This window comes from Homo sapiens, chromosome 14 (assembly GCF_000001405.40).
Source record: "Homo sapiens chromosome 14, GRCh38.p14 Primary Assembly".
Classification (NCBI taxonomy): Eukaryota; Metazoa; Chordata; class Mammalia; order Primates; family Hominidae; genus Homo; species Homo sapiens.
Window position 1 is genome coordinate 60,451,769 of NC_000014.9, and position 26,236 is coordinate 60,478,004.

The window sequence follows — 26,236 nt, forward strand, 5'->3', positions numbered from 1 at the left end:
TGGCAAATGTATACATACGTAACAAACCTGCACATTGTGCACATGTACCCTAGAACTTAAAGTATAATAAAAATAGAGAAATTTTAAAAATTAAAAATAAAATAAAATAATGGGTTAAAAGATAGAATCTCAGGCTGGGCATGGTGGCTCACGCCTGTAATCCCAGCACTTTGGGAGGCTGAGGCAGGCAGATAACGAGGTCAGGAGATCGAGACCATCCTGGCCAACATGGTGAAACCCCATCTCTACTAAAGTACAAAAAAAAAAAATTAGCCAGGCATGGTGGCACACGCCTATAGTCCCAGCTACTCGGGAGGATGAGGCAGGGGAATCACTTGAACCTGGGAGGTGGAGGTTGCAGTGAGCCGACATTGTGCCAACTGCAAAGACTCCATCTCAAAAAAAAAAAAAAAAAGATAGAATTTCAAGCCTCATGGTAACCACAATCGAAAAAGAGACAATGGATACACCAAAAATAAAAAGCAAGAAATTAAATCTCACCATCAGAGAAAATCATCTTCACTTAAAGGAAGACAGGAAGAAAGGAAAAAAGGAATGAGATCCTGTCATTTGCAACAACATGGATGGAACTAGAGGTCATTATGTTAAATGAAATAAGTCAGGCACAGAAAGACAAACAACATATTCTCACTTATTTGTGGGACCTAAAAATAAGAACAATTGAACTCATGGAGATAGAGAGTAGAAAGATGATTACCAGAGGCTGGGAAAGGTTGGGGGCGGGGGACTGGGGACAGGTGGGAATGGTTAATGGGTACAAAAACATAGCAAGAATTAATAAGATCTAGTATTTGATTGCACAATAGGGTGACTATAGTCAAAATAATTTAATTGTACACTTTAAAATAACTAAAAGTATAACTGGATTATTTGTAGGACAAAGAATAAATGTTTGAGGGGATGGATACTCTCCCTTTCTATGATATGATTATTTCACATTGCATGCCTGTATCAAAATATCTTAGGGAGCCCCATAAATATATACATCTACTATGCACCCATAAAAATTAAAAATAAATAAAATTTTTTTCTGATTTATCTCATGATTTCTTCTTTGATCTATGGCCTACATATTTAGGATTTTCTTAGATATCACATTGAGTTCTAATTTAATTCTGCTGTGGTCAGAGAACATACTCTGATTTCAATCCTTTTAAATTCATTAAGACTCATTTTATGGCCCAGAATATGGTGTATCTTGCTGAAGGTACCATCAGAACCTGAAAAGAATATATATGCTGCAGTTGCTGGATGTGATGTACTATAAAGGTCAATTAGATCAAGGTGATTGATGATGTTATTCAGATCTTATTAAAGATCTTTACTGATTGTGTTATCTAATTCTACCAGCTGCTAAAAGAGAAGTATTAAAACCTCCAATATGTTTGAATTTTTGTCTATTTCTCTCTTTAATTCTGTTACATTTTGTTTCATGTATTTTGAAGCTGTTATTAGGCTTTACACATTTGTGACTGTTATATCTTCCTTATGAATTGACTTTTTTATCTTTATGAAACGTCCCTCTCATTTCTAGTAATATTCTTTAAGACTACCAGAAATGATATTAATATAGCTACTGTGACCTTCTAATGCTTAGTTTTCATGATACATCATTTTCCATCCATTTACTGTCAACCCGTCTTTGCCTTTATATTTAAAGTGTGTTTCTTATAGATAGCTTATATTTGGGTCTTGCTTTTTTTTTTTCCATTCTTACAATCTTTGTCTTTTAATGAGTGTTAGCCCATTCACAAAATATAATTATTAAAAAGCACATTATTTGGTGTAAAGTTTATTTGTTTTATGATTTTTTTACTGTGTGTATTTTTTTATTGTTTCTTTTCTACCTTGTGGGGTTGAATTTTTTAGAATTTCGTTTTAATTTATCATCAATCTTATTTTTCAATATTTTCCTGATAGTTCTTGACCACTTTCCCCCAGGACAGTTATTAATTATTTTGCCAATCTCCTTCCCCAATCCCACCACCATAAAAACAAAACAAAAAATTAAATACAAACTTGCCAGGATTATAATTAGATTTGAATTGGACTATATTTATAAATTATATTGGGAAGAAATTTATCTTTACAATATTTTTTCCTATGCAAGTATTGCATGTGTTTATGTATTCATTAACTTTTTTCAGTAGTTTTGTAGTTTTCCTTATTCAAAGTGTACATGTTTCCTATTACATTTATATACATGCATTTTGCATTCATGTTATTATTGTAAATGAGAATTAAGTAACTATAGTCTACTTTCATGCCTAGCATACTCCTAGGAATTACTTGTTTTTAAAATAAGCATTTAAATAAAAAATGAGACAAAAGTTGAAGATGTAAAATACTATAACATGTATAGTACTATATCATCCATCAATAAATTTGTAATTTCAACAATTTAATGTCAGATATATGCAAATAAAATATTCTAATCCACATAAAATTGGCTAAATGTAATTAACTTAAATGAGCAATAACAATATTACTCATATCACATTAAAACTTATGTAGGATTATTAAGTGGTTGGTACTTTTCTAAGTGCTTTATGTGTATAAACTCTAATACTCACAAACCCTATGATAATAGTTATTATTTCATTTTACAGATAAGGAAACCAAGCCACTTACCCAAAATCCCACATCTGGTACACACCTAAGTAGTCTGGCTTCAGAGTCTAGTTTTAACCACTACACTGTAATGTTTCTACTTTTTGAATAAAGCATGTCTCAATTTTCAGCTTTAATTTCTAAATATAGAAATAAGCACTTTATCATGATTCATATCACTGAACAGTAGAAACCAATATTAGGTCTTTTAAAATTAACCAGTGATAATGCTACTATGTATACACATGTAGTTGAAAAGACCCATTTATAATATGGAACATTTTTTATGTTGAGAATTCTAGTTTGTCTGAAAGTTAGACACATTAACTATAAAGTCAAATTCATTTTTTAAACTGCCTTTAGCTGATTTAAATTATCCCTATCCTGAGATCCGTTTTTAATGAACAGATGTCAATATGAGGCATTCAAAGTTGAAAACAAAAAGGTAATAGGGAACTTTGTCATACCATCAATACTCAGAATTTTTTTAAATGCTTCTGTTGATAATCTGCCCCAAGACAGTTTTGTATTAAAGAACTAAAATTACTCAAAGTTTCACAGCAGAATTTTTAGAAATAAAACTTTTGGCTTCTCATATTACCTGATCTGATGAGATTTCTGTATCAAATACAGAAGAATCAAATAAATTCAATCCAGGTGATCTAGAAGTATAACTCATAAGAAAAGAAAGTCCAGGGGATTCCTTTTCTGTTTGAACTTCAGGTACTGCATTTCTATTTCTGTTACTGAGAAATAAGAAATTATCAAAATGTTAAAAATCTATTATTAAACACTGAATACTGGTAAGCATCATAAGCAACAGCATAGAGGTGAGAATTAGCATAGTAGGGAAATGTAGGAAGTAGTTATTGAAGTGACAATCCTATCGAGAAAGGATTGTATGAGGTGGAGACTAATGTTAAATAAAGTTAAATAAGGCATAACTTACTTATTCTTCACAAGAACCCTATGAAATAGGTACTATTACTATCATTTCCATTTTACAGTAGGGAATTTTGAAGCATAGAAAGGTTAAATGATTTGCTTAAAAGAATAATAAGTGCCAAAGGTGGCAGGTGAATGCAGCAATCACGATTCAAAGTCCAAGCTCTTAACCTTGACACTATACTGTCTTCAAGATTTTGAATGCCAGTTACAAGATTTTAGTGTTGATGAGAAGCCAGCCATTACAGTGATGTATAAGGAAGTTAAATTATAATATGATTTGGGAAAAATAATTAGACAAGACAGTTTATACCAGTGGTTAAAAGCATGGATTCTAGAGCCAGAACGGCCTGGGCTTAAATTTCTATTCTAATGTTGATTAGTTGTATCACCTGTGATTCTGTTTCCTCTTCTGTAAAATAAGGATAATAATGTACCTACACCTAATAAGGCTGTTGTGAATATTAAATGAGCAGTATTTATAAAATGTCTAGAGCAGTGCCTTGCACAGTTTGTTGTTTGTTAAATTTAATAGAAATCTGATGATACTGCCATAACTATCTCTATTACCATAAATGAGTCACTTAACTTTACAGATGATAGTTTTCTCATCCATGGGGAGAGGTCTTAGCGTATGAGCTCACATTATTTTACAGTTCTCAGGTTTGATGATGAGTTCCATTTCGAATGTGCTGTGCTTGAGTCAACAGCATGACATTCAAATCCATAACTCTTATTAGCAATTTAAAATACGGAAGTAGAGTACAGGTCTGATGCAAAACAACCCTGATGCAGTGAATTCTGCTTGACATATGTTTTAGAGAAACCTCAGGGTTGTTAAGGAAGATAATGGACTAAACATAAAGGTTAAGTGCAGCACTATTTTCTTGGCTGCAAACTACAAATACGTGGTTTCCAAAATTTAATAATCATGTTAGAGATATTTATGCCTAAAGAGCTTGCTTAATAAAAATGGCAAGTCTTGCTTCAGACACTACAACATATGAAGAAATGACTGATGGAATATTAATTGATGATAAGTCTACAATCTACCATATGTGACAACAGCTTTTTAGCTTGACTTTTTTTTTTTTTTTAATAGAGTCTCACTATGTTGCTCAGGCTGGATTCAAATTCCTGGGCTCAAGGGATCCTCCTCCCTTAGCCTCCCAAATAGCTGGGACTACAGGCACATGCCACTATGCTAGGCTTAGCTTGACATTTTAAATTTTCTTTATCCTTTGGAAAAATCTCAAATCTACACACTATTGCTTTATAAGTACGTGGGATTTATGCCATCTTCAGCTAAATGTTGCAGGAAAAATGGGGAAGAGGGTCTATGAAACAGGAACAGCAGAGTATTAATAATTGTTAAAACAGGTATTAATAATTGTTAAAACAGGGTGATGGGTAAATGGAGGTGTGTTATATTAGTCTTTCTCTTCTTTGCATGTCTGAAATACTACATAATAAAAACTTGTTAAAGGTACTAAGCATTTTACTATTCCTATCAGTTATTTATGTAATTCAACATACAAATAATTTAACAATAGTTATTAATTAAAATCCTACATTTCGAACGGGGGGGTTTTAGGGAATTTTATTTTCTCCAATGACTCAGGTGCTTTCACAGCTTTGGGAGTTCCTAAAAATATAGGAATTTCAGACGTTCGTGGAAAATTCTCAGCTCTCTCTTCTACTTCATCACTATCATTTTCTACTGACTTCCCAAAATGTTCAGTATATATAGCCTGCAAATTCAAAGTAACAGAAAACTATAAAACAAATGCTGCTGCATTAATGACATACATAAAAATGCATGAGGTGGAAAATACCTTATTAATCCATGATGTTAACATTGCACAGACAAAATAACTGAAATAAGAATAACTGGTGAAAGTAATACTAAAACATATATCAAAATATAGAAAAATAAATATTTATCCAATTTTTTCTTTTCTTTCCAGTTCCATCTTCCACTTCTACCTGAAAAAGTAAATGACAGCCAGAACATATTGGAATTGATGAAAAAAAAGACTAGGAATGATTTTTCTTTTAAAATTTCCACAATATGCTCTTTGGGTGAACAATTACATAGGCTATCTCCTTGAAAGTGAAAAATGATGTACTTTTAAGCAATCTTGCTCTCATTGATTAATTACATTTTCACACTTTTTTTGACCCTATAAATCTGTTATGCTACTTTCTCTACAATAATTGAGAATCTGAATACTAATTTTCCTTTATGTCATTTTGTAGAATAGTGATATGATTTCTCAAATATGCTTGTTATGCCAAATCCCATTACAGAAATAATTTGGGTCTCTTCATCAAAAAAATTAAAATGTGCTTATTACGTGTGTTTTTTACAGCAAAATACTACTTGCTGTTTCTCTTATTTTAACCTTTAATAGTTAGACTGAACTTGATATACATTGTTTACATCTATCATCAGTAAAGTGTTCCACTATTTAAATAATGCTTTCAAGATACTTTTATGGCAACCACTGCTCTTGAATTGTCGTGGCGAATCATTCAATCTTACCAAACAAAATTATTTTCATCAATCATTATTTAGTTATAGTCAATATATATTGTCACTTACTGATGATAACTTTTTGTATATGTTTTTTTAATTTTTAAAAAAATTTATTGATGCATAACTGTACATAGTTTTGGGATACATGTGATAATTTAACACATTCATGTAATTTGTAAATATCAAATCAGTGTACTTGGGATATCCATCACCTTAAATATTTGTCTTTTCTTCATGCTAGAAACTTTGAATTATTCTCTTCTAGCTATTTTGACAGGTACAATAGATGGCTGTAAGCCGTAGTCACCATACTGATCTAACACAAGGCCTTATTTCTTCTCTCAAACTATATAGTTGTATCCATTAATCAGCTTCTCTACGTTCCTTCTTCCCCACTACCCTTCCTGGACTCTGGTAACCACCAATCTATCCTGTATCATCTTGAAACCCGCTTTTTTAGCTCCCACATATGAGTGAGAAGATGTGATATTTGTCTTTCTGTACTTGGTTTATTTTGCTTAACATAATGACCACCAGTTCCAACGATGTTGCTGCAAATAACTAAATTTCACTCTTTTTTATGGCCGAATAATATATTTTTGTATATTTTCATATAAAATTTTTGTGGCTTCATCTTTTAATCTGAAAAATAGAATCTGTAACTCTCTAGAAACCTGATCACCAAGCTAACAACATCTCACATAAATCACTGTACTAAATCTGAAATTTAAATAGACATAATATTTTAAATTGGAATTTTTGCTTAGAAATTAGAGATCAAACATTTGACTTACTTGTGAAGTACATTTTGATTCTCTTACTTGTCTTACTGTCCCTTTATCTCCATACTCAGCATCTGTTGTCATATGAGAACAAACTATTTTTCTTTTTGTAATTTTATTGTAAAATAAAACATAGTCTCGCCATTTGAAATTGCTAATATTTAGCTGTTTTAACCTACAAAAATGGCAACTTCATATGGTTCAACATAATACATACAGATAAGAGAATAAAACATAATATGAACAGTTTAACAAACAAAATTATAAAGAGAATACCCATGTTTCTTTACCCAGGGAAAGAAATACAACATCATGAGCACTCTAAAAGGTTTCATATTCACCATGTCTTGCTCCTCAGAGGTAATCACTATTCTGACTTTTGTGACAATCATTTCCTTAGTTTGCTTTATATTGTTTTATCATCTAAATAATATAGCCTATTTTTCCTGTTTTAAATGTTATATAATAAAATAACATATGTATGCTCTTATGTTTTGGTTTTTGTTTTGCATATGCTTGTGAGATGCATCCATATTATTGCACAAAGACACAGTTCTCTTATTTTTACTGATGTAAAGTATTCCATTGCACAAACACAATACATCTATCCATTCTACTGTAAATGGATATTTGAAGTGTTTCTGCTTTCATGTACAACCAAAGATATTATGAACATTCTTTTACATATATCCTTGCATGTATGTACTTCTATTTCTCTAGGTATATACCTAGGATCGGAACTATGAGGTATGGGGTATGTATATCTCTCATTTTACTAGATGCCAAATTTTTCCCAACGGTTGTACCAATTTTTCGTGGTAATTTGTCATTCTGAATTACTCCAGGAAATCATTCATTATCACCAGACAAAATGATTAGCTCCAATTATAATTTAGGTATGGTCTCAATATGTAATTTATTAATGGAGTTCCCACCAATAGTTTATGGAGAATTCCTATTGTCCTACATTCTCCTACTTAGTATTGTCAGACTTTTTTAATTTTGCTAATCTGGTGGATGTGTAATGATACCTCACTGTAGTTTTATTTTGAGTTACCTGATTTTCATATGTTTATCTGCCACAAAAGATTCTCTTTTCTAAAGTGTATGCTTTTATACTTTGCACATATTTTTAATTGGGTTGTCTGCTTTTTTGTTCTTCATTTGTAGAAGTTCTTTACACATTTTGGAAACTACTCTATTGAAAGTTTTACGTACTTCAAATATATTATTTGCCCTTGTACTCTTTTTATGGTATCTTTTGATAAACAGAAATTCTTAATTTTAATATTGCCAAATTTCTCCATCTTTCTTTCATGATTGGACTTTTTAATGCTTGAGAAATCCTTTCCTATCTTGAAGTCATGAAGATGTTTTTCTATTTGATCTTCTGAGAGCTTTATAGTTTTTGTCTCTTACATTTAAGTCATAGGTATTATTTTTACCACATATTAATTCTTCAAAAGCTGGGTTTGAAAATTATTGAAAAAAATTTTAAGTTCCAAAATAATTGTATTCATTCTTGGGTATGAAGCCTCACTATACATGCTCAACAGCACGTAGGGCTATGTGAGATATATTCATTTCCCCATGTTCCTAGAGATTAGCTATTCCTCCTTGTCTAACACTCTGTCAGTTTGGCATATATAGATTATAAACAAGTAAAACAGATCACCTGCACATGTAATATATAATTTTTTTCTCCCAGAAGGAATATCTGTGTGGAATAAGCATATTGTGTTGGATGAATCCTATACTGAGTGAGAGAAAAAGACTCATAGTATATTAACATTCTAAATATATATCTATTTCATGCTGTCAGAATAAGGCATTTTTAAAACTTCAAAACAAAAGTCAGTTATCAGACAAAAAGAGATGTAGACTTTTATATACTTTAATAGAGCAATTGTTATGCATTATTAGTTTACCAAAAATATATATCCATCTGTGTGGTATACATTATATATACATTCACTCACATGTGATTATGTTAATATACATATACATACATGTATACACATGTGTGTGTATATACATAGAGAGAATGAGTTCATATTTTCAAGGGTGTGCCAAAGTTAGAAAAGCTAGATGACTTGGGGATGATAAATTCATATATATATCCTGTGATCCTTCGGTAACTTTATTCAAAGAAAATAGTCCAAGGTATTAAAAGATTAATGTAAAAGAATATAGAGGCATTATTTATAATAGTAAAAGAACTGAAAAAAAACCAAAATATTCCACATGAAAGAATGACTAAGTAAATTATGGCATATCCACACAATGGAACATTATACAGTCATTACAAATAAAACCTATTTACTGACATAGAGAAATAACCTCAACAGTATATCAAGTGGGAAAAAAGAATAAAAAATTATGTATATGATTCAAACTTGGAGGGAAAAAGAATAAAAATGCATAGAAAAAAATGGTATGCACCAGTATTTATGATGTTCAGTTATGTCTGAGTAGTGATATTTTTGTTTTCTTTATATCTTTGTTTTCCAAATATTCTACAATAAAATGTATTTGTTCTATATTTAGGGAAGATGTATTTTAAAGCCAGGCGTGCATGGTCAGTTAACCAGAGATGCAAATAATCGAAACAATTTATTTGACTAATGTAAAAACCTGATATAATTTGTTACCCCGACTTCTTAGAAGAAAAATATAAACGGCAAATACCTTTATCCCCTTTTTCCGACCACTGATTGGAATTTGATTGTTTCTGTGGGGTTAACAATCTAAAATGGAATAAATATAATTTTTGTATTTTTTCTGAGTTGATATCTATAAATTATTTCAGAGATTAAAGCATTTTCTTATTTTAAAAAGTTACCTGACTTGCATAAACTTTTGTGAACTTGTGATAGTCGTAATATGTGAACATTTTGAATGGTTATCCACAGCAGAGTCATTAAATATCTGAAAGAAAGAAATTAAGCATCTGACTTGGCTACACAAAGCAATAAAAATTTTTTGCTTGTCGTTAGCAACTCAGAACTCTCATTTCATTAGTATTTCATCCTTTCCATCATTACCATCATTATCAACATCAACAACTACACACATTAACTGAAACCACTACATACAAAACATTAAGTTGAATATTGAGAAACAAAAAAGTTTAAGAAATTAATGTTTTTGACAAGTATAGTAATGATTTGTAGTAGTATTTCTGTATTTAAGATAAACCTTTTAAAATTTATACCACCCATATTCATGACTCATCAACTAAATGTTACCATTTTCTCAACTGATTATCTGATTTCTGTGTCCCTCCATTCTCTATAACCTCTCAAATTTAACACAGGAAAGCAAAACAACAGATTAAAAGATTAAAAAGCTGAAACTTTCCTTTTTATATACACATAAAAGAGCTATTATTCCATTTTAACTTTAAATTGTTTAATATTAACATCTAGCTGGGAGTGGTGACTTATGCCTGTAATCCCAATACTTTCAGGGACTGAGGCCGGAGGATCACTTGAGCACCAGGAGTTCAAGACCAGCCTGTACAACATAGTGAGACCCCATCTCTACAAAAAATTAAAAAATTAGCTGAGTTTGGTAGCCTGATGTCCTAGCTACTGAGGGGAGAGGGGAAGGGAGGGTGGGGTTGAGGTGGGATGATCCATTGAGCCCAGGATTTCAAGGCTACAGTGAGCCATGATCGCGCCACTACACTCCAACCTGGAGGTGACACGGCAAGACTTTGTCTCAAAAACAAATTGTTTAATATCAATATCTAAACCATTATTTTATTAACGTTTCTTTCAAGCCTTTTGTTCTCCTTGAATCACTCATTTTAAAAAGTCCCTGCTTTTTGTTATTTGACTCAAAATCAAAATATAGTTTTAACAGAAAAGTTTATCTCATTTATTTTTGTTATAACAGACATTGATCTTAATTCTGTCATCTTACTGTGCTCTTCAACTATAAGAAAAAGTGTCAACCTCCTTTAAAGAACAAGTGATGCTACTGTTTTGATGTATGCTTTAAACCAAGCTTGTTCAACCCACGGCCTGCAGGCTGCATGCAGTCCAAAACGGCTCTGACTGCGGCCCAACACAAATTTGTAAACTTTCTTAAAACATGAGATTTTTTTCAAGGTCTTATTTTATTTATTTATTTATTAGCTCATCAGCTATCGTTAGTGTTAGTGTATTTTATGTGTGGCCCAATACAATTCTTCTTTTTCCAGTGTGGCCCAGGTAAGCCAAAAGATTGGACACACCTGCAAGGAGAATACATGTCTCTATATGTCTCCTGGTACAAATACCTGTATAAATATTTCAAATATTTCTTTCGAGTAGATGTCAAGCAGTAGAATTGCTAAGTATATACATTTTTATTTGTAATAAATTTATACTGTGAATCAGTCCTCCAAAGTGCTTGTACCAAATTACACTTCCACTATTCTTGACCTCACTAAATGTTACCAAGCAAATATTTTAAGTCTGCTAACCTGATAGGTAAAACCAGGCACTTCAGTGGTTTAATTTGCATTTCCCCATACTCCTGGGGTCTGGCATCTTGTTATGTTTAGTGATCCTTTGGCTTTCCTTTTCTATAAACTGCCTTCTTATTTTTTGTCCATTTTTATTATCTCTTTATTAATTTGTAAGAGTTACTATGTACTTCTTTATATAGTATACATTGTGGATACCAATCTTTTGCTCATTCTGTTATTGTCTTTTAACTTTGTTAGTGTCTCTTATCATATATGTTTTTTATTTTTATGTAGTCCATTGATCACTTTGTCTTTTTCCTTCACCACACTGTTATAATTACTATGTTTTGATAATATTTACAAATGTTTCGGGTGATGGAAATATTCTGGAATTAGAGTGATAATGGTTACACAACCTTATGATATACTAAAAACCACTAAATCTACACTTTTAAGTGGTAACTTTCATGGTATATGAATTATACCTCAATGAAAGAAGAAAAATAATGAACATTTTGACATATGGACATACAGATCCCCCTCTTTATCTTGCTAGTTTTTTGGGAGAGGGCTATCTTTGTGTTTGACTTGTATTTTTTAAATCATGGTAAGTGAAAATAGCACTTTTTAGAATTTGTTGAGATATACTTTTTATTCTAGTAATGGGTCATTTTTGGTGAATATTGCAAATAAAAACTTAACTGTATTCTGTGTATGTTGGGCACAAAGTTTGCTAATTGTGCTATTCAGATTCCCTAAATCCTTATTTATTTTTCCCCTATTTGATTTACCTCTGTGGCAGAAACTGCCATTTGCCTATCCTATCCAAAATCTAATTTCTCCTTGTGTTCTACTTTAAAAAACAAAGAAACAAACAAAAAACCCTGTTTCTCAACCTCTCCTGCAGATAGAGGTACCCAAATGACCAAGTTCTGGCCAATGAAATGATATCATAAATTGTTTACGGAGCTTCTAGGAAAAATCCTTAAAAATGGGGCTGACTCAGCTAGCCCTTCTCCCCTTTTTCTTTCCTGCCTGGAAGGCAAATTTACATGGTTACCTTCTGACCATGAAGTGACCTAGAGGTAAAAGCATAGCATGAAAAATAGCAGGAAAAGAAAACATAGATGAAGCTTGAGAAATAATGGCATTGTTGAGATGATGCTATCAGTCCTGAATCTGAATGACCTACTTTAGAATTTTATGGCAAGTAAGAGAAAAACAAACGTTTATCTTGTTTAAGATGCTATTATTTCACTGGTTTGGTTTTGTATTATTTCACATGTAGCCAAACTCAACTCCTAAACTCACAATCAGTACTCTTTTTGGAGAGAGCTATATTCAGCTTCTTGTTTTAACTGTGTATTCAACCATTTCTTTGAAAGTCTGTCAAACTCTGCTTTACATATTTTGAAACTTGAAATAATTTAGTGTATTGTGGTTTTTATAATTTCTTGGTAAATTGTTCTTTTTAAAAATATGAAATATATTTACCCCATTAATGCTTTTCACCCTGAACTCTATTTCGTACAACATTGTTACATCTGCCTTGTTTTCGTTTGCATTTGCCTGATATATTTTCTTCTTTTTTTCAGCCTCAATGTCAAGTTGTTTCCGCTCTTCTGCTTTAATAGCATATACCTGTATTTGTTTATATATCCCATAGAAGTAGTTCTGTCTTTTAATGGGAGTTTAAACCAGTCACATTTTTGTGGTTACTAATTTGTTCAGAACTATTTCTGGCACCTTATTCGTTTTCTATTTACAATGCTTTCTAACTGTTTTATTTTTACCCCCATTACTGTCTTTGTTGGTCTAATTAATTTTGCCTTATCTTTTTTCTTCTACTGTTTTAAAACTAACACATTCCATTTCTCTTCTGGTGGTTACCCTTAAATGTTTAATATGTATGCATAAATTTACATTTTTCCAACAATGTATAGAGTTCATCAGCGTTCATATCTTCTCCCTACCTCTATCCTTAAATAAAAAATAGAACTCTGGTAAACTTTTATTTTTCTCATTTATCTTTCCACCCTTATCACATATTGACATCATCTGGAATTTCAGTACCAGATTTAAAAATTTTTATAAGTTATACATATTTACACTTGAGTTTCACTAATTACTTTGGTCACCACTACCAGTGGAAGAACAATTATATTTTTCATTGAGGCTTTCCCTCTGGACTATTTTCAGGAAGAATGGGGAAAGATAAAAAAGTGTGCCACCAGCAGTTAGCTCTCTGGGTGGTATGCTCCTTGTTCTTCATGGGCATCAAGAACCACCCAGGGGACCTGCCTATCTCTCTCACCTAAACTTCCATATTCACTGCTTCCACCTGGAGACAGTCATTCCATTGCTGATGCCTGGCCAAAGATACAGTGGATATAAGATGAACAGGGGGTTAAGTAAACTAACTACCACTGAGGTAACGCAACCAATTACCTTACTCATCATCCGTATACCTTTATCTTGTAGAACGGTATTCTCCTATGCATGTCCTGGGCAATAATTTCCCTCTTCAATCCAATCCTGCTATTTTCCTTCAGGGATTTCTCACAGTTTTGGATCTACTATGTACAGAGCTTGGTATTTGAAAATATCTTTTTCTATTATTTTTAGGGATAAGGGGACAGGTTACAGTATATAATCAGAATGCCATATTGAAACACCTTTAAATTTTTTAGACCTTGAGTTTGCACTAATGGCTGATTTAATAAATTTATAACACACACACACACACACACACACACACACACACACACACACGTCTGTGTCTTAAGGGCAGTACATTCATTATTACATTTAATGCAAGCAGGTATTTAATTTATACTACTAAAAGTGAGACACCTACCTGTGTATCATTTTCTTTTTGTCTAAAGTCAATATTGGCAAGCTTTGACTGCTTCGCAGAACTTTCTTCTTTTATATCTAGATTATTAAATAGTACTACTTTAAATCAATGCTGGAAACAGAATCAAGTATCTTCCCCAATGTTTAACCTAAACTTGTAATTTAGAAAATCAAGTCTACATGAATTTTTAATTTAAATTAAAATACGGAATTATGAAATTATTTTAAAACTCTTAATTCCTTACTATATAATAGCTTTACAATAACTATGAAGATGAAATGACAAAAGGCCAACTGACAAAACTGTACCTTTATAATGGGTTACCAAAGAAGACAGAGTGGTTGAGAAGACAAAGAAACCAGCCAATGTAGTTAATCTAATATAATGTATTAGGTTGGTGCAAAAGTAATCATGATTTTTGCCATTACTTTTAATGCCAAAACCATTATGTAATGGTAAATGCCATTAAATTTTAATTAAACGCAATGGCAAAAACCATGATTACTTTTGCACCAACCTAATAGTTAATTTAATCTGCAGAGCCACTGAATGAAACTTGATTCAAATATCTCAGTGACTAAGTTATAGATACTATTAGCATAAGTCTTTTACCTGCCTAAGTCACACATATTGATAATCAACTCCTCAAATGAAAAATATGTAATTTTTCCTCCTCCTCTAACAGCTGTGCAACCAGGCCAGAACACTTTTTTTGAAATTTATTGTGTGAATAATTCCTTTCTCAAAGAGAAAAAAGTTACGTATAGAAGACATATTTTGTTTGCTCTCAGAAAGATTCAAAGCAGTACTCTCTTGAGTTTATAGGTCTCCAGTATTGTTTTTACTTACACCAAATGATAAATAAAATTGCTTCCTTCTATTTCTTCTGTGTGTTTGCAAAAAAAATGATGTTTTTGAATAACAAACAGATATTATACCTGCAACTCTTGGTTCTGAAGAATGCATCTTTATTGGTCTTACTAATTTCTGAGATTCATAAGGAAGAAATAATTGACTGCTTTGAGTTTTATTCAATGTAAGTACATGCTCATCTTTTCCAAAAATTCTAAAGAGAAAGGTGAATTACATTAAATATTAGATAAGTTAAAATTAACATATTTTAAAGCTAGGAGGCATATTTAGATACTATATAATAAAACCCCTCGTTTTGCAGATAATAAAACTGAGTTCCAAAGAATTTAATAGACTTGCCCAAAATGACTGAATTACTTAGTAGTGGTGTCAGAGCAAAAACACACTTCCCCTGATTAAGTTCAATGCTCTTCTCAATATAGTCCACTCTTATTTTTAAAATATAATCATTGCAAAAGACTTCCTACACATGTCAAAAACATTTTAAGCCAAAACTTGTAACTACAAATAGCATGCTTCAGATTTCATGGTACTTTAAACTTTAAAAAGACATATTCAGAAATAAATCAACCAACATGAATACAGAAATTGTTAAAACAGTATTATAATCATAAATGGGTCTTTTAAGTTTTTTACTGAAAGAATAGTTTTCACTAAATTTTATCTAAATTGAAGAAATAGAATAAACAGTGTCAGAATATATATTGAGTTAAAAATGACTAAATATTTATATGTTTCTGTCAATACATGGAATTTTTCTTAAAGGCGGTCAATAAAGTAAAATTCTGTCTATTTACCTATTTTTTCAATTAACTTCATTATAAAATTAAAGACACACTTGCACTGAATGTGGTACATGGGAGTGGAGGAATCAAGAAAATAACACATCCAAAAAAAGTAGGATCAGGGAAATTAACCCGACAGAAGAATGTGTTGAAAAATCAGATTAAGGGCCATGGAACTTGAGGAAAGGAGTTTCAGAAGAATGAAAAAGGATATAAGTAGGGGGAAAAAGTAAAAGCTGGTCAGAAATAGCAATAGTAATACATCTATTTTTCTGTCATATGATAACAGGCAAAGTCCATCTATTTTTTTTTTTGGCCTCTATCACTGATCTCTATTTTATCGCCATTAAAACAAAAGACAAGGAAATATGATGCCACACATTTAGTAGCATGCTTTGACTCATCTTCACTCTATAGCAAAGGAAGAACTGGTCAAGGTGGACAGGGTGATAAAAAAGTAAATACCTTGCTATTCCCACCATTGTTTCTGTTTTACTCCTATTGCTGGCCCATCATGGAAAACACTGGATGAATTATACAACTGACAGGTTCTAGAACAGCAGATGTGCTGCTGCTACTCTATTTCTCTTTACACATTATCCTCAGCCTTACTAAATAACAAGCAGATTTTAGTATTAGCTCATAATATTTAATAATATTTTTCATAAGAAATTAATAGAAAATAGCCTGCACAACAAAATTTACAGATACTGTGTAAATATTAGTGGTTTGGGATGGAATATAGAATCAAACTTTTAGATGCAAAATATCTGTTCACATAAAATTTAATTTTAAAGGTTACCTATACCTTTCTTTCAGTTCTTTTCTGTTTTCTGTATTTTTGTTCTTTTCTTCCAGAGTTTCTGAAAGAGCCTTAGTTTCATTATGCCTAGATATCTGCTAAAAAGACAATTGGGAACACAAAACAAAATAATTACTTGCAAAGCAGTAAAAAAAGATATGCTTTATCTTATGTTTTTTCTATATAATCATAAGATTCATATTTTTGATAGCATTTACTATCTTCTATTTACAGTTATTAAAACAAAAACAAAATTAACAATAAATCACACCCGTTTAACTTTTCCTTACAATTCCATTGGCAAATGTAGATTTTAACAAACTCCCATCTTTTTAAAAACAGATAATTATAAGCAAAGTAGACATTGATTCCTTACATTAAGGACAGTTACCATATATTTTAAAGGAAATGGCATCTACTTTCTTCTGTTTACTAAAATGATATTACTGTTATTTGGTACCTCATACTTAATGAAAGATAAGTATACAGTATTTAACATAATTTTCAAAAATTTAGAAAATCAGGTATCATAGTCAAATTTTTCTCAGAATTTGGAAGCGACTTTGATGGGTTATCATAGCTATGTAAATAAAAGCCACAATTTCATGGATGACATCCAAATGTTTCCAAGAAAAGTTTAAAGGCTAAACTAGTTCTAGCCTAGCTCGCTAAAGATTATAGTCATATATTTTTCAAGTTTAAATTCTTTATTTACTACCTTTTTAAAAAACACTGGCGTAGATCTTTTAATGCCTTTAAAATCCTGTTACTATGTTGCATCTTATTCCTTCCTCATGTTCTCTCCTCAGACCTCAAAGAAAGCTAAACTATTCCCCAAAATATATTCAGTACCTAAATATATATATTAAATTATATACAAATTAATATAAAATATATTAATAAAATTAATAAAAAATATAAATTAATATATTCAGTACCTAAAATACCTTTTGGCTCCAAAGGTAATCTAAATTATCTTAAACCTTTCTCCACATTAGGCTCTCTTAAAAATAGCTCTTCTAAAACTGTCAACTAACATACCATTATACTTATACATTAATACACATATTAGAAATATATAACAAAATATATACCTGGTTTAAATAATTAATTTCTATTTCCATTTCATCTACTTCTTTCTTCAATTCGGATGAACTTTTGGTAAGATTGCTGGCATGTTTAAGAATATCTTGTGTTTCACATCTCAAATTAACACTTTTTATGTTAAGGAACTATGTCATATAAGTAAATTTTATATTTATAATATATGTGCCATATCAGAAATGATTAATATTATGTGACATCATTTATATGTATGTTTCATATAAACAGTAAGCAATATTAAAAACAGTATCTGAAAACAGGAGAATAATATAAACATTTGGCAGACTAACAGATAATTTATTGTTTATGTTATATACTGAGCTTAAAAAAACATTTCATACAAAATATTTGTTAGGATTATTTCAGTTAAGTATTTTCACAGGGTAGTTTTTTTTTTTTTTTTTTTGCTTTTTAAATCAAAGTTCATTGTGTCACTTGGCATAACTAATAAAACATAATTCAGGCCCAAATTTAACTTCTTATGCTTCCATTATTTATTTGTTCAAAGACAATATTTAAAGTATACCCATTTCAAGCCAACAACAGTATGCTGGAGAAAAACAAAATCGACCAAATTTCCCTTTTCTTGCTCTGTAAGGCTCATCAGTGTACCCTACAGAACTCAAAAGACAGGCAGATCTTCGACTTGGACTTTCTACTTGAACTGGATTTGTGCCCAATTTCAAGTAAAAAATCCTCAGCTATTAATACATTCCACGTGGTTATTAGCTAATACAATGTCCTAAATTATAATCCATTTAGGAGAATTTGAAAATGATAGAATAGTGACAGTTAACAAGAATTCCAGAGAAGATTAATCAGGGCTTTCCTATTCTGCCTTAAAATATGCATGATTTATATGCTAGAATATAAAATTTCAAGTGAATCATGATTTATAAGTCTATTATTATCAAGTTTCCATTAAAATGTTAGGTACAGATAATTAAATCCTAATCTTCAAATCTTCCTACCTCCATTCACCTCTTCCTGTTTGTCATGCAACCTTATATGTCATCCCATTCCACATCCAACTCCCTAAACCCTTGCTATACCAGCGTCTACTAACTTTGGCCCCTTCCCACTGAGAAGTTAAAGCGCAAATGGGCAGCAAATGAACAACAAAAAACAGAAGAGACTAAAACCAAAACATGGAAAAAGCTAGCAGCAGAAGAGTTAAAAGGATGGTTTAGAATGAAGCAGACAGAAAGCAAGGTAGGATGTGGGGATAAAGAAGACTTAGTACAAACAGTGGAGTTATAATCTGATAGGAAAGCATATGAAGGATTGTGGAGGTTGAAAGAGGATTAAAGTTTCAAGTTCATCATCAGGGAAGATCTCTCTGACAAACAGGTGAGACTTAGACCAATTAAGAATTACTTAGGCATCTATTACAGTGGTACTGTATTAGAATTATTTATTTACATGTCAGTCTTCCCTACTAAACCCAGAGCTCCTTGGAAGAGAGCTCTGTATCGTCTTCAGTATTGCCTGGCATAAGGTAGGTTTCCAGTGATGAATGAATAAATGTAACTCACCTCCTTTGCACCTTCCATTCTAACAAGTAATAAGCAATTTAACTGGAATTTTCTTTGGTAAGACAGACCAATATAACATTTTCATTGGTTTGGTTCCTAAGACACGCCACTTAAACCCAAATACATATGCCATTTTATTCTCACCAAAGTTGCTTGCTTCTGATCACATGAATATACATGAAAATGAATCCAAGATGACCTTTAAAATTACTTTTTAAATATTTTAATTAAACACAAAACAAATCCATGTTATTCTCACAAAGGAAACACAGTAACAATTAAAATACAAAATAATGCTTATCTAATAAAAATTATAAGTACAAATACTATTGTGGATACATGTTTAAAGTCCATTTAGTAAGTGATGGAAAGGGAGCAGGCACTGAAAAATAAAGTCACAGCATAAGCTGATTATTATATTCTTTTCATTACAAAGATATCATAATTAAAACAATATAACAAAAATATTAATACCTCGAAATTTCATAAAAATTGTTTCATTCATTTTTAATTGTTCAGTACATGCCAACACTCTGCTTTGAATTTCTTCATGTTCTCTTTTCTTCTCATAATATTCACGTGAAAAGGGTGTTTCTGAGTATTTTAGTTGGTACTGCTTCAAAACTTCTTTATACTGACATATATAATCATGATACATTTCTCTGTTAAAATTAAAAGAAATGATGTTTATATAACAACAACAGATCTAAAAACTTTGTGAATACACTGTTAAAGTCTACTAAACATAAAAGGCAAATCAAATGTCTTCTTATTCTTGCTTCCCTCAATATTGTCTGCCCTTTAGACTTTCCTTAACTCCACCACACTTCTCAACTTGACTCTTTTTCTTCATTACCTGAGTGATTCACTTCTTAATTCTATTCATTTTAACTCCTACTCCCACTATTTTAATGACGCTATTCTTCCCAAGGTCACCAATGATCAAATTTGTCCAACTGAATGATCTCTTTTTAGCACTCATCCTAATTGACACTGCAGAACCTGGTTCTTCTGATCACTTACTCCTTGTGGAACCTCTATCTTCCCTGGCTTCTGAGTCTCTACTCTCCCAAGCTCAGCTACTTCTAAAACCATATCTTTTTAATCTTCAATTTTCATTAGCTAAAATTATCACATGAAGTCATGTTCTATGTATTAGAACTCTTGTGTTCACCATCAAATGTACCCCGTAACTATTTTATGAAGAAAATTTTATCACAGTTTAGAAGAACTCTACTCCAGCTCCAATAGTAGTGGATGGTCATCTATTTAGGCACAAATCTTGAGTGAGACAGTTAATTCTTGAAAAAGGACATTAACCTTTTTTTCTTTTTTATTATACTTTTAAGTTTTAGGGTATATGTGCACAACGTGCAGGTTTGTTACATATGTATACATGTGCCATGTTGGTGTGCTGCACCCATTAACTCGTCATTTAGCATTAGATATATCTCCTAATGCTATCTCTCCCTCCTACCCCCTCCCCACAACAGGCCCCGGGGTGTGATGTTCCCCTTCCTGTGTCCATGTGTTCTCATTGTTCAATTCCCACCTACGAGTGAGAATATGCAGTGTTTGCTTTTTTGTCCTTGCAATAATAGTTTGCTGAGAATGATGGTTTCCAGCTTCATCCTTGTCCCTACAAAGGACATGAACTCATCATTTTTTATGGCTGCATAGTATTCCATGATGTATATGTGCCACATTTTCTTAATCCAGTCTACCATTGTTGGACATTTGGCTTGGTTCCAAGTCTTTGCTATTGTGAATAGTGCCGCAATAAACATACGTGTGCATGTGTCTTTATAGCAGCATGATTTATAATCCTTTGGGTATATACCCAGTAATGGGATGGCTGGGTCAAACGGTAATTCTAGTTCTAGATCCCTGAGGAATTGCCACACTGACTTCCACAATGGTTGAACTAGTTTACAGTCCCACCAACAGTGTAAAAGTGTTCCTATTTCCCCACATCCTCTCCAGCACCTGTTGTTTCCTGACTTTTTAATGATCGCCATTCTAACTGGTGTGAGATGGTATCTCATTGTAATTTTGATTTTCATTTCTCCGATGGCCAGTGATGATGAGCATTTTTTCATGTGTCTTTTGGCTGCATAAATGTCTTCTTTTGAGAAGTGTCTGTTCATATCCTTCACCCACTTTTTGATGGCGTTCTTTGTTTTTTCTTATAAATTTGTTTAAGTTCATTATAGATTCTGGATATCAGCCCTTTCTCAGATGAGTAGATTGCAAAAATTTTCTCCCATTCTGTAGGTTGCCTGTTCACTCTGATGGTAGTTTCTTTTGCTGTGCAGAAGCTCTTTACTTTAATTAGATCCCAATTGTCAATTTTGGCTTTTGTTGCCATTGCTTTTGGTGTTTTAGACATGAAGTCCTTGCCCAGCCTATGACCTGAATGGTATTGCCTAGGTTTTCTCCTAGGGTTTCATGGTTTTAGGTCTAACATGTAAGTCTTTAATCCATCTTGAATTAATTTTTGTATAAGGCGTAAGGAAGGGATCCAGTTTCAGCTTTCTACATATGGCTAGCCAGTTTTCCCAGCACCATTTATTAAATAGGGAATCCTTTCCCCATTTCTTGTTTTTGTCAGGGTTGTCAAAGATCAGATAGTTGTAGATATGCGGCATTATTTCTCAGGGCTCTGTTCTGTTCCATTGGTCTGTATCTCTCTTTTGGTACCAGTACCATGTTGTTTTGGTTGCTGTAGCCTTGTAGTATAGTTTGAAGTCAGGTAGTGTGATGCCTCCAGCTTTGTTCTTTTGGCTTAGGATTGACTAGGCAATGCAGGCTCTTTTGTGGTTCCATATGAACTTTAAAAGTAGTTTTTTCCAACTCTGTGATGAAAGTCATTGGTAGCTTGATGGGGATGGCATTGAATCTATAAATTACCTTGGGCAGTATGGCCATTTTCACGATATTGATTCTTCCTACCCATGAGCATGGAATGTTCTTCCATTTGTTTGTGTCCTCTTTTATTTCATTGAGCAGTGGTTTGTAGTTCTCCTTGAAGAAGTCCTTCATATCCCTTCTAAGTTGGATTCCTAGGTATTTTATTCTCTTTGAAGCAATTGTGAATGGGAGTTCACTCGTGATTTGGCTGTTTGTCTGTTATTGGTGTATAAGAATGCTTGTGATTTTTGCACATTGATTTTGTATCCTGAGACTTTGCTGAAGTTGTCTACCAGCTTAAGGAGAGTTTGGGCTGAGACAATGGTGTTTTCTAGATATACAATCATGTCATCTGCAAACAGGGACAATTTGACTTCCTCTTTTCCTAATTGAATACCATTTATTTCTTTCTCCTGCCTGATTGCCCTGGCCAGAACTTCCAACACTATGTTGAATAGGAGTGGTGAGAGAGGGTATCCCTGTCTTGTGCCAGTTTTCAAAGGGAATGCTTCCAGTTTTTGCCCATTCAGTATTATATTGGCTGTGGGTTTGTCATAAATAGCTCTTATTATTTTGAGATACGTCCCATCGATACCTAATTTATTGATAGTTTTTAGCATGAAGCGTTGTTGAATTTTATCAAAGGCCTTTTCTGCACCTATTGAGATAATCATGTGGTTTTTGTTGTTGGTTCTGTTTAGATGCTGGATTACATTTATTGATTTGCATATGTTGAACCAGCCTTGCATCCCAGGGATGAAGCCCACTTGATCATGGTGGATAAGCTTTTTGATGTGCTGCTGGATTCGGTTTGCCAGTATTTTATTGAGGATTTTTGCAGGGATGTTCATCAGGGATTTTGGTCTAAAATTCTCTTTTTTTGTTGTGTCTTCACCAGGCTTTGGTATCAGGATGATGCTGGCCTCATAAAATGAGTTAGGGAGGATTCCCTCTTTTTCTATTGATTGGAAGAGTTTCAGAAGGAATGGTACCAGCTCCTCCTTGTACCTCTGGTAGAATTCAGCTGTGAATCCATCTGGTCCTGGACTTTTTTGGTTGGTAAACTATTAATTATTTCCTCAATTTCAGAGCCTGTTATTGGTCTATTCAGAGATTCAACTTCTTCCTGGTTTAGTCTTGGGAGAGTGTATGTGTCGAGGAATTTATCCATTTCTTCTAGATTTTCTAGTTTATTTGCATAGAGGTGTTTATAGTATGCTCTGATGGTAGTTTGTATTTCTGTGGGATCGGTGGTGATATCCCCTTTATCATCTTTTATTGCATCTATTTGATTCTTCTGTCTTTTCTTCATTAGTCTTGCTGGCGGTCTATCAATTTTATCTTTTCAAAAAACCGGCTCCTACACAAAAAACCGTTCAAATAACCTTTTTTTCTTATTTGACCTGTGCTCGATTCTACAAGAATCAAAATTATGATGGTCTATGGGCCAAATCTAATCTGCCACCTATTTTTGTACAGCCCATGAACTATGAATGATTTTTACATGTTTAAATTATTGAAAAAATCAAAAGAATATTCCATAACACATTAAAATTATATGAAATTTAAACTTCAGTATCCATAAATAAAGTTTTATTAGAGCATAGCTCATTTATTTACATATTATCTGAAATTCTCTCGTGCCATAATAGGAGAGTGGAGTAGTCATGGCAGATGTTGGCCCACAAAGGTTAAAATATTAATACTTACTATCTGGTCCTTTACCAAAAAAGCTTGCCAACTCTAATCGAAAACATTGAAAATGTTAAATCCAGTTCTTTATAGAAAATATATTCTTAAATCTTCTTTTTCCCCAATTCTTATCAAATACTTAGTTTCAAAAAAATTCGTAGAAAAATTTTTGAAAATATATAGTCCTTACATTCCTCAAGATTTTCTCATTTCTTGGATCAAGGTATACTCTATGGGGGAGTTTCTTAAAAGATACCCTGAGGATTATCTCACCTTAGCAGATTAGAAAAGAGCAAGTTTCAAAAACTGCACACATGAGAAGAAAAGTAAGGATAACAGCCCTGTGCTAGTCAGCGGGTCTGAATCTTAAGAAAGTTTTAATTTCTGAATATTACTAAACTGTCCCCTTTAGCAAGGAAAAGCAGTTGAGCCCCAAACAAGCTCCTATTCCTCTAAACGCATATTTGCTAATTAAGACCCACTTACTATTTAATCGCTTGGGAAAAATGGTCCAGGGAAGAAATACCTATAAGAAAATTAAGCCTGGGTCACCAGTTCCAGGTGAGATGACTATGCCACATCCACCCTATTCATACTGTATATTCATGCTCACTCTTCTAACATACTCCATATAGAAACTCTGGCAGAGCCTAGCATAGCTAAGTCATAGTTAAACAAGAGCCATTATTATCTCATCTAAGCCAGCAATACTGTTTTTCATGAATGACTTGAACAGGGATGGGAGATTAGGAGAAACAAGTAATTGGTGCCTCTACTTCCTCCATTATCCATGAAACCAACAAATGAGTTATTTTCCATTTATAAATGCCTGGTATTGAAGCATCAATTCAATTAAGCTATGTAGCTGGTTTAAGAAAGAAACAGACAACTGTTTTCACTTTAATACCTTCAGTTAGCTCACAGAAGTCCTCTATAACAAACACTGTTAGAGAAGTACATATTTTAACTGGTTTGCTTTAGCCTCTCACAGAATCATTTTTAAGAATTAATGTTTTATAGTCATGACTTACATTGACAGATGCTATAAGAAGCAGTTATATATACTGTGTTTGGGGCTGGGGGAGGTCACTGAAGCACACTGCACAATTTCCCCTTTAGAGGACCCAGAGGAGAAATTTCTCTCAAACCTCAGGAAAAGCCTCTACTTATCCTAAGCAATTGACCTGTTTTTTTAAATGAATATTATGAATCCCACACTGATTATATTTCCACAATGCCTTGACTACTAGGAATTTGAAAGCTTAATTCGTGCCTATATCTAACAAATGTGCGGGATACATAGTATGAATTTCTAACTTCATCAAAGGCTTCAACTTCCTATATTTTCCTTACTTCCCTGCAGCCTTGATTTTTAATCTAGTTTCTTTAAACACTATCCTTTCAAGATGATTATTTAGTCAAATCATCTAAAATTCTTTTTTAAATGAAGCAGGATGTATAAATGACAAGACAAGTCTCCTTCACTGATCCCACCCTCTGCCTACCCTCTAGATGATGGCGTACTCCAGCTTTCTCCTCTTTTTGCTCCATACATTTCCATGGGCAATCTCATGTATTTCCATGATTTCAAAATGAAGTCTATATCTATAACTTTAGTCCCTACCTTTTCTTAAGACTTGTCTTTGAATATATAGAGTATTGCATTCTAGATTTTGCACGTTTTAGTTACAATATAAAAATAGATACTGTTCTCATCCAATTATATTAAAAATAAAAACATTTCAATGTCTTATATTAGGTGAAATTTTTATGCTATATAATGTGTTCAAAGTCTCTTGTCTTGTTTCATTACATTCACTAATTATATTTAATCCCCAAGACAATGTGATTATACATATAATAAAATAAATTCATACAATTATTGGTGTTTCTCTATTAGAATATAACCACTCCATTAAATCAGCTGTCTAAAAAACAGAAGTTTGATATAAAATACCATTCAGAAATCAATATCCCAAATTTGTTATAAGCTAATTCTACAGGTAACTATTCCCCGAGATGTTTGCCTAAACAGTTCACTCATAAAGACCATTAATTGATGGACTCTGCTATAATAATTGCCACTGAGAAACAGTTTATATCTAAGGCCATATCTAAATATATCTAGGATTAGAGAGAGCTTTACAACAAGTAGGTAGATGTTCCACTGCACCCAAGGAGTCCAAAACACTACATTTACTTAAAAACAAAAACTCCTGGCTGGGCATGGTGGGTCATGCCTGTAATCCCAGCACTTTGGAAGGCCGAGGCGGGCAGATCACGAGGTCAGGAGATCGAGACCATCCTGGCTAACATGGTGAAACC

The 26,236-nt window shown here is 32.5% G+C and overlaps 1 protein-coding gene across 15 annotated transcripts in view; it reads right to left on the bottom strand.

Moving 5' to 3' along the window:
• C14orf39 (chromosome 14 open reading frame 39) overlaps positions 1–26,236 on the bottom strand; it is a 79,589-nt gene that overhangs the window by 15,813 nt on the left and 37,540 nt on the right. For 10 of the 15 annotated variants that reach the window (XM_047431324.1, XM_017021250.3, XM_017021248.3 and 7 more), the window contains 11 exons: positions 19,784–19,971; positions 19,649–19,691; positions 17,765–17,885; positions 16,677–16,768; positions 15,149–15,276; positions 14,211–14,287; positions 9,740–9,825; positions 9,586–9,644; positions 6,910–6,971; positions 5,149–5,327; positions 3,233–3,377 (listed from right to left, as the gene is read on the bottom strand). In XM_047431324.1, the coding sequence (XP_047287280.1) occupies positions 3,233–3,377; positions 5,149–5,327; positions 6,910–6,971; positions 9,586–9,644; positions 9,740–9,825; positions 14,211–14,287; positions 15,149–15,276; positions 16,677–16,768; positions 17,765–17,885; positions 19,649–19,691; positions 19,784–19,971 (1,180 nt within the window). Of the gene's footprint in view, positions 1–3,232; positions 3,378–5,148; positions 5,328–6,909; positions 6,972–9,585; positions 9,645–9,739; positions 9,826–14,210; positions 14,288–15,148; positions 15,277–16,676; positions 16,769–17,764; positions 17,886–19,648; positions 19,692–19,783; positions 19,972–26,236 lie in introns of those variants that run through there. The other 5 variants (XM_047431327.1, XM_024449555.2, XM_017021247.2 and 2 more) reach the window with 3 other exon arrangements.